The sequence below is a fragment of the Homo sapiens genome, chromosome 19 (genome assembly GCF_000001405.40).
Source record: "Homo sapiens chromosome 19, GRCh38.p14 Primary Assembly".
In the NCBI taxonomy this organism is placed as follows: domain Eukaryota; kingdom Metazoa; phylum Chordata; class Mammalia; order Primates; family Hominidae; genus Homo; species Homo sapiens.
In genome coordinates, this window is record NC_000019.10 from 39,952,278 (window position 1) to 39,961,406 (window position 9,129).

The 9,129-nt window shown below is 43.7% G+C and overlaps 1 long non-coding RNA gene across 1 annotated transcript, besides 1 other annotated feature; it reads right to left on the reverse strand.

The window, feature by feature from the left end:
• Positions 1-7,042: 7,042 nt before the first annotated feature.
• On the reverse strand, positions 7,043-7,745 carry LOC124904722 (uncharacterized). Its single transcript, XR_007067261.1, has 2 exons — positions 7,591-7,745; positions 7,043-7,224 (listed from the first exon to the last, which is right to left on the reverse strand). It is a non-coding gene; the product is annotated as an uncharacterized LOC124904722 (long non-coding RNA).
• Positions 7,255-8,064: an enhancer, noted in NCBI's record as "NANOG-H3K27ac hESC enhancer chr19:40465439-40466248 (GRCh37/hg19 assembly coordinates)". NCBI's record gives its function as "activates a minimal SCP1, AML or CMV promoter by ChIP-STARR-seq in naive H9 embryonic stem cells {active_cell/tissue: H9 hESC(naive)}" and the evidence as "EXISTENCE:reporter gene assay evidence [ECO:0000049][PMID:30033119]".

Consider the following 9,129-nt stretch of genomic DNA (forward strand, 5'->3'; position numbering starts at 1 on the left):
AGTATTTGAAACAAAAGAGAATTCCAGATTGCCGGCTGGTACCTAGCCCACACATGTCTGGGGCAGTTCCCTAGACCAATCTCAGAAGGGCCAGCCAGAATCACTCCAACTGCCTACGCAAGTTTCCCAGAAGGGCTAACTGGAATCACCCCAACTTCCCACCCAAATTTCCAAAAATAAGGGAGAGAAGGAGAGACAAAAGAAAGAAAGAGGCCCTTATCAATGTCAGACATAAGTCAAGGCAAGGATTGGTTTGGCCGGTTCTTGAACAATCCAGATAGGTTTAGTGATTAATGTATTAAGTTTAGTCTAACATTTCCTTTGACTTGACAAGATGTTCTAGTAGTCCTCACTCATTGTACTCCTGGTGAAAGTTTCAAATCTTGGAAAGGGTAAGAAATACGCAGAGGAGATGGCCAGATATAATCCTGGCCATGCCATTTACTGGGCATCTGGTGAGAGAGAGAGAGAGAGAGAGAGAGAGAGAGAGAAGAAGAAGAGCAGACTCACCTAGGGTCCAGACTTGACTCTCCAAAGCACCAACACCAAAGCAATGGTCCAGAGTGGCCACCTTTGTTACCACCTGGTCAGTTGCCTCTGTCCTCCAGGAAGTCTTGCTAACTCCTGTGGGGACCTAAAATGAGGGTCCCATCTGGGGTACCAGGAGATGTTACAATCATCCTTGGTTCTTGTAGTCTTCCAGGATAGAAATCAAGTGAGATTGCTGGGTGTGGTGGCTCACCCCTGTAATCCCAGCACTTTGGGAGGCTGAGGCAGGTGGATTGCTTGAGCCCAGGAGTTCAAGACCAGCCTGGGCAACATGGTGAAAACCCATTTCTACTAAAAATACGAAAAAAAACAGCTGGGTGTGGTGGTGCACACCTGTAATCCCAGCTACTTGGGAGGCTGAGGCAGGAGAATTGCTTGAACCTGGAAGGCAGAAGTTGCAGTGAGCTGAGATTGTGCCATTGCACTCCAGCCTGGGCGACAAAACAAGACTCCATCTCAAAAAAAAAAAAAAAAAGAAAGAAAAAGAGAATGTTTATTTTAGCTTGTGCACAAGAAAGGTCAGCACTGCAAAAGGAAAAGGGTGGGCTGCACCCCAAAGGGAGCAGGTTGATCTGTCTTATAGGGGCCTAGCTGCTGTGACGTGCCTGTCATTGAATGTTTAGGAGGGATTTCTTTGGTGCCTGCACAGTGGTTCAACACGCTTTTTCATACATTGTATATAACATTAGCATTTTAAATCACCTCTGGGCATGATTTTTAGCATTAAAATAAGGAAAAGTTGAAACAAGCCTAGCTGTACTTGCAGGTCCCTGGGGAAGTCCCTAGGCCCCTAAAGCAGGAACTTGTGGTTACTAGCTTCTTGGGCCTTTGATGCTGATTGGCTGGAGATTAGGTAAGCTACATCTTGAGTAAGGGGCTTTTCTTCTTTTTCTCTGGACCACATCAAAACAGGAAGTCAGCCAGCTTGCCTGTCACAAAACCAGGAGTCAATAAATAAAATGATTTATTATTTGAATAATGTATTTGTAGGTTCTTTTGGGTTCTCTACACATACAATCATATTGCTTATGAATTAGTTTAATTCCTTCCATTCTCATCTTTATAACTTTTCTTTAGGCTTTCCAATAGATAATTGAATAAAAGATATGATGGGGGCATCCTAGTCTTGCTTCTGATCACAAAGAAAATACTTTCCATTGGTTTTTGTTGTTGTTTGAGAGGGAGTCTCGCTCTGTCACGCAGGCTGGAGTTCAGCGGCACAATCTAAGCTCACTGCAACCTTTGCCTCCTGGGCTCAAGCGATCCTTCCATCTTAGCCTCCCAAGTAGTAGGGACTACAGGCACATGCCACCACGCCCAGCTGATTTTTGTATTTTTCTGTAAAGATGGGGTTTTTGCTCAGGCTGGTCTCGAACTCCTGGGCTCCAGTGATCCACCTCCCTCAGCCTCCCAAAGTGCTGGGATTACACGCATCAGCCACTACACCCAGCCTGTTTTCAATATTTTGCTATTAAGTATGATGCTTACCGTAGCATTTTTGAAAGTATACATTATTGTATTAAAGAAGTTTCCTTCTACTTTTAATTGTTTAATCATAAATAGATGTTTAACTTTATCAAATGATTTTTCTGCATCTGTCTCAATGATATTAATATCCATTGTTGATCATTACCTTGATGTAGAGTTGCTAACTAAGATACAAGACCTCCAGTTCAATTTGAATTTCAGGTGACAATTAATTTTTAGTATAAATATGTCCCATGCCATTTATTGGCTAAATCTGGAAACCTGTCTAGTTCCATTATTTCACCAGGGCTTTGCAAAATGGGGATTTTTAATGTATTATTTTCTCTTCATTTATTAACTACAATGCTATTATACAAAGAAGCATCCCCTCATTAATTCTCTGGTTACCCTAAATTGTAGTTAATACAGAAAAAGCAACTTAAATGCTTCAATTTTCAGTTTTAGTACATTCTCTCTAAAGGTAACCAAAACGTGTGTGTGCGTGTGTGTGTGTGTGTGTGTGTGTGTGTGTGTGTATGTAATATCCTTATGAATGCATGGATTTTTAACATTTGAAGTGGTCAAACCTTAGACCAGTGGGAGCTGTCTTGGTTTATGGTACATTTCCTACCCAGAACCACAATCATCCATTTCTAAAAGAGCCACAATTCCTATGATTACCAAATTGTATTTATTTATTTATTTTGAGACAAAGTCCTGCTCTGTTGCTGAGGCTGGAGTACAGTGGCATGATCATGGCTCACTGCAGCCTTGACCTCCTGGGCTCAAGTGATCCTCCTGCCTCAGCCTCCCAAGTAGCTGAGACTACAGACGTGCATCACTACACCCAGCTAATTTTTAAATTGTTTGTAGAGACAAGGTCTCCCTATGTTACCCAGGCTGCTCTCAAACTCCTGGATTCAAGTGATCCTCCTGACTTGGACTCTCAAAGTGCTGGGATTATAAGTGTGAGCCACGTGCCTGGCCCCAAATTGAATTTAGACACTATAATTTGAGCACTAGGGGAGGAACTGCCTTTAATATTTTTAATTTTGTAAAACATTTGCACAGTTCCAGAGCCAAAACTTGACAATAAGTTATCTTCACAGAGCTTTAGCTGCCATCCCTGTCCTCTCCACATTTCCTCCCTTCTCCTGTGAGTAACCATTTTTATGGGATTTTCATTCAACTTTCCATCATTTCTCTTTGAAAATATAGGGAAAGACATACATATACAAGTGTGCGTGTCTGTGCATTTCCCTTTCCTTCTTTTGCAAAAGGTAGCATATTATAGCATATCATACACATTGTGTTTTCTTCTTTTTGTTTTGTTTTGTTTTGTTTTTATGAGACCAAGTCTCACTCGGCCGCCCAGGCTGGAGCGCAGTGTCACGATCTCACCTCACTAACCTCCACCTCCCAAGTTCAAGCGATTCTCCTGCTTCAGCCACTCAAGTATCTGGGATTACAGGTGTGTGCCACCATGCCCGGCTAATTTTTGTATTTTTTAGTAGAGACGGGTTTCACCATGTTGGCCAGGCTGGTCTTGAACTCCCGACCTCAGGTGATCCTCCCACCTCAGCCTCCCGAACTATTGAGATCACAGAAGTGAGCCACTGCGCCCAGCTCACACTGTTCTTTATTTTACTTTTTTTACTTGACTTTTTTTTTTTTGAGACGGAGTTTCACTCTTGTTGTCCAGGCTGGAATACAATGGCACGATCTTGGCTCACCGCAACCTCTGCCTCCTGGGTTCAAGCAATTCTCCTGCCTCAGCCTCCCGAGTAGCTGAGATTACAGGCATGTGCCATCACGCCCGGCTAATTTTGCATTTTTAGTAGAAATGGAGTTTCTCCATGTTGGTCAGGATGGTTTTGAACTCCTGACCTCAGGTGATCCGCCCACCTCAGCCTCCCAAAGCGCTGGGATTACAGGCATGAGCCACTGTGCCTGGCCCATGAGCCACCACGCCAGGCAGGCACGTACTATTTTTCATTCCCACTAGCAATGTGAGAGTGCCAATTTTCCCACAACCTTGGCAAGAGTATGTTATCAATCTGATAGGTGAGAAATGGTATCTCGATACAGTTTTATGTTGCATTTGTAGTATCATGAGATAAATCATTTGTTCATTTAAGGGTTTGCATTTTCTATGAATTCTGTTCTTTTGTTTTCTTACCTTGTTGTGTTTTTGTCATGCATAAAATTGTAATTATTATGTAGTCAAATGTATCAGTCCTTTCTTTTATTGCTTCTGTAATTTGAATCAGGTAGCAAAAAAAATTGACCACTGCCAGGTTATAAAGAAATTCATTGGCCGGGCACAGTGGCTCATGCTTGTAATCCCAGCACTTTGGGAGGTCAAGGCAGGAGGATTGCTTGAGCCCAGGAGTTCGAGACCAGCCTGGGTAAAATTGGGAAGTTCTATCTCTACCAAAGAATTACAAAAATTAGCCAGTTGTGCAGGTGTGTGCCTGTAGTCCCAGCTATTCAGGAGGCTGAGGTAGGAGAATTGCTTGAACCAAAGGGGCAGAGGTTGCAATGAGCCGAGATCATGCCACTGCACTCCAGCCTGGACAGTAGAGCCAGACCCTGTCTCAACTTAAAACCTAAATGAATAAATTCATTCACATTTAGTAGTTACAGGGTTTCACATTTTAAAATTTAGATCTCTGACCTTTTCACATTTGTCCTGCTGTGTGGTTTGAGGAATGGGTTTAATTTTATATTCTTCCATAGAGTTGTCAGCTTACTCCAGTATCACTGATTAAAAAGTCCTTCTTGTCTCCAATGATTTGAGATGCAACCTTTATCATATACTAAATATCTATATGCATTTGGGTCTGCTCTGGATTCTCTATTCTGTTCCTTCATTCTGTGGTATTCATGTGCTAATACCACACTGTTTTCATTAGAGGTTTTCTGTTTTAATATCTAGTCAGGTCGGCCAGGCGCGGTGGCTCATGCCTGTAATCCCAGCACTTTGGGAGGCTGAGGCATGTGGATCACGAGGTCAGGACCTCAAGACCAGTCTGGCCAACATGGTGAAACCCCGTGTCTACTAAAAATACAAAAATTAGCTGGGCATGGTGGCACGCATCTGTAATCCCAGCTGCTCGGGATTACAAAAAACAAGAACAGCTAAGAAAGTTCTGAAAAACTCAGGAGGCTGAGGCAAGAGAATCACTTGAACCCAGGAGGCAGAGGTTGCAGTGAGCTGAGATTGTGCCACTGCACTCTAGGCTAGCGATATATATATATATATGTGTAGTCAGGTCAGTGGTGCCTCCCTACTCTGGTCTTTTTCAGAATTTTCTTAGCTGTTCTTGTTTTTCTCATTCTCCCAAATAAGTTTTACAATAACTTCTCTAATTCTAGATAAAAACCTGATGATATTTTTGGAGGGATTGCATTACATTTTTAAACTAACTTTTTGAGAGATATTTTTATTATGTGAGTCTCCTATCCAAAACCATTGCCCTTCCATCTATATATGTTCATGTTTACCTTTGTGAATAATAGAAAAGCAGACACTATTCACGTTTATCTTTAAAAAAAAAAAAAAAAAAAAAAGCAAAATAGGCCGGGTGTGGTGGCTCACGCCTGTAATCCCAGAACTTTGGGAGGCTGAGGCAGGAGAATTACTTGAGTCCAGGAGTTCAAGACCAGCCTAGGCAACATGGTGAAACCCCATCTCTACAAAAAATCAGCTAGGCATGGTGGTGTGCACCTGTAGTTCCAGCTACTCGGAAGGCTGAGGTGGTGTCAGGCCTCTGAGCCTAAGCTAAGCCATCGCATCCTCTGTGACTTGCACGTATAAGCCCAGATGGCCTGAAATAACTGAAGAATCACAAAAGAAGTGAAAATGTCCTGCCCCGCCTTAACTGATGGCATTCCACCACAAAAGAAGTGAAAATGGCTGGTCCTTGCCTTAAGTGATGACATTACCTTGTGAAAGTCCTTTTCCTGGCTCATCCTGGCTCAAAAAGCTCCCCCACTGAGCACCTTGCGACCCCCACTCCTGCCTGCCAGAGAACAAAACCCCTTTGACTGTAATTTTCCTTTACCTACCCAAATCTTATAAAATGGCCCCACCCCTATCTCCCTTTGCCCCCACCCTATCTCCCAGAGTAGGGAGGCACCACTGACCTGACTACATATATATAAATATATATATATATATATATATATATATATATATATATATATCGCTAGCCTGGAGTGCAGTGGCACAATCTCAGCTCACTGCAACCTCTGCCTCCTGGGTTCAAGTGATTCTCTTGCCTCAGCCTCCTGAGTTTTTCAGAACTTTCTTAGCTGTTCTTGTTTTTTGTAATCCCGAGCAGCTGGGATTACAGATGCGTGCCACCATGCCCAGCTAATTTTTGTATTTTTAGTAGACACGGGGTTTCACCATGTTGGCCAGACTGGTCTTGAGGTCCTGACCTCGTGATCCACATGCCTCAGCCTCCCAAAGTGCTGGGATTACAGGCATGAGCCACCGCGCCTGGCCGACCTGACTAGATATTAAAACAGAAAACCTCTAATGAAAACAGTGTGGTATTAGCACATGAATACCACAGAATGAAGGAACAGAATAGAGAATCCAGAGCAGACCCAAATGCATATAGATATTTAGTATATGATAAAGGTTGCATCTCAAATCATTGGAGACAAGAAGGCTGACTCTCTTTTCGGACTCAGCCCACCTGCACCCAGGTGATTAAAAGCTTTTATTCTCACACAAAGCCTGTTTAGTAGTCTCTTCACACAGACATGCATGAAAGGTGGGAGGATCACTTGAGCCTGGGAGGTGGAGGTTGCAGTGAGCTGAGATTGTGCCACTGCACGCCAGCCTGGGCAACAGAGACATCCTGTCTCAAAAAAAAAAAAAAAACAGTAAAATTGATATGTATAGATTTGTGTAACCACCTCCATGAAGGGGTAGGTTGCCCCTCCACACCTCTGGGTGTTTCTCGTTAGGTGGAATGAGAGACTTGGAAAAGAAAGAGACACAGAGACAAAGTACAGACAAAGAATAAAGGGGGCCCAGGGAACTGGCGTTCAGCATACGGAGGCTCCACCGGCCTCTGGGTTCCCTTAGTATTTATTGATCATTCTTGGGTGTTTCTCGGAGAGGGGGATGTGGCAGCGTCATAGGATAATAGTGGAGAGAAGGTCGGCAGATAAACACTTGAACGAAGGTCTCTGCATCGTAGACAAGGTAAAGAATTAAGTGCTGTGCTTTAGATATGTGTACATAAAAACATCTCAATGCCTTAAAGAACAGTATTGCTGCCCGCATGTCCCACCTCCAGCCCTAAGGCGGTTTTCCCCTATCTTAGTAGATGGAATATACAATCAGGTTTTACACGAGACATTCCATTGCCCAGGGACGGGCAGGAGACAGATGCCTTCCTCTTGTCTCAACTGCAAAGAGGCGTTCCTTCCTCTTTTACTAATCCTCCTCAGCACAGACCCTTTACGGGTGTCGGGCTGGGGGACGGTCAGGTCTTTCCCTTCCCACGAGGCTGTATTTCAGACTATCACATGGGGAGAAACCTTGGACAATACCTGGCTTTCCTAGGCAGAGGTCCCTGCGGCCTTCCGCAGTGTTTGTGTCCCTGGGTACTTGAGATTAGGGAGTGGTGATGATTCTTAGGGAGGATGCTGCCTTCAAGCATCTGTTTAACAAAGCACATCCTGCACAGCCCTTAATCCATTTAACCCTGAGTTGACACAGCACGTGTTTCAGGGAGCACAGGGTTGGCGGTAAGGTTACAGATTACAGAACAAAATGGAGTCTCCTATGTCTACTTCTTTCTACACAGACACAGTAACAATCTGATCTCTCTTTCTTTTCCCCACACCTCCACAATCAAGATACAGTTTCATCACCCCAAAACTTCTCTCATGCTGTCCTTTTGTAGTATCCCTCCCCACCAACCCCTGGAAACCAGTGACCTCGTCTCTGTTCCTTTAATCTTGTGTTTTCAAGAATGTCATACAAATGGAATCAGAAAGTACGTCACCTCCAGTCCTATGTACCCATTTGACTATGGAAAATTTCCACTCGAATGTCCCACAGGTACCTTAGCTCAACCTCATTGCTCTCCTTCCAATATGCCCCTCCTCCTATGTCTAGATTCTAGTCAAACACTATGCCATCATCCAGCAGTCCAAGCTAGGAGTGTCATCCTGGGTTCCTCTTTTTTCCTTTCACCCTTCTTTCTAATTATTCTTTTTTTTTTTTTTTTTTTTTTTTTTTTGAGACAGAGTTTCTCTCTTGTTGCCCAGGCTGGAGTGTAATGGCACGATCTCGGCTCACCACAACCTCTGCCTCCCGAGTTCAAGTGATTCTCCTGCCTCAGCCTCCAGAGTAGCTGGGATTACAGGCATTCACCACCATGCCCAGCTAATTTTGTATTTTTAGTAGAGACGGGGTTTCTCCATGTTGGTCAGGTGGTTTTGAACTCCCGACCTCTGGTGATCTGCCTGCCTCGGCCTCCCAAAGTGCTGGGATTACAGGCATGAGCCACTGCACCCGGCTCTAATTACTCTCTTAATCTCATTGCTTATATGTTCTTTATATCTCTCAAAACAATCTATTTCTAAATCCACAACCATTTTACAAGTGATTCTGGCAACCACCTCTCAACTGGATTATTCCAACAGCTTTCTGGGTTTTTTTGCTGAGTCTTATCCTTTTGAGTCTCTATCTACATCACAGTAAGCATGATCATCCTAAACAAACACAAATCTTGTTAAGTCATTCCCCCAATCCCCCACTCCCTGCCACTTAAAACCCTTCACGGGTTGTCCCTTGCCCTCAGGACAAATTGTAAGCTCCTTAGGTGACATTCAAGACTTCCTATAATTCAAGCCTTCCTCTCCTATCTCAACCCAAAACTCCTGTTCTCACCCTACATGTCTCCCACACATACTCCCACTTGGGTTGCTTTTTTAAAGTCTGGAATGTCTTTCTCCTCGCCTTTGTTTTTTTTTCTTTCTTTTTTTTTTTTTTCTTTTTTGAGTTGGAGTCTCACTCTGTCACCCAGGCTGGAGTGCAGTGGCGCAATCTCAGCTCACTGCAACCTCTGCCTCCCGGGTTCA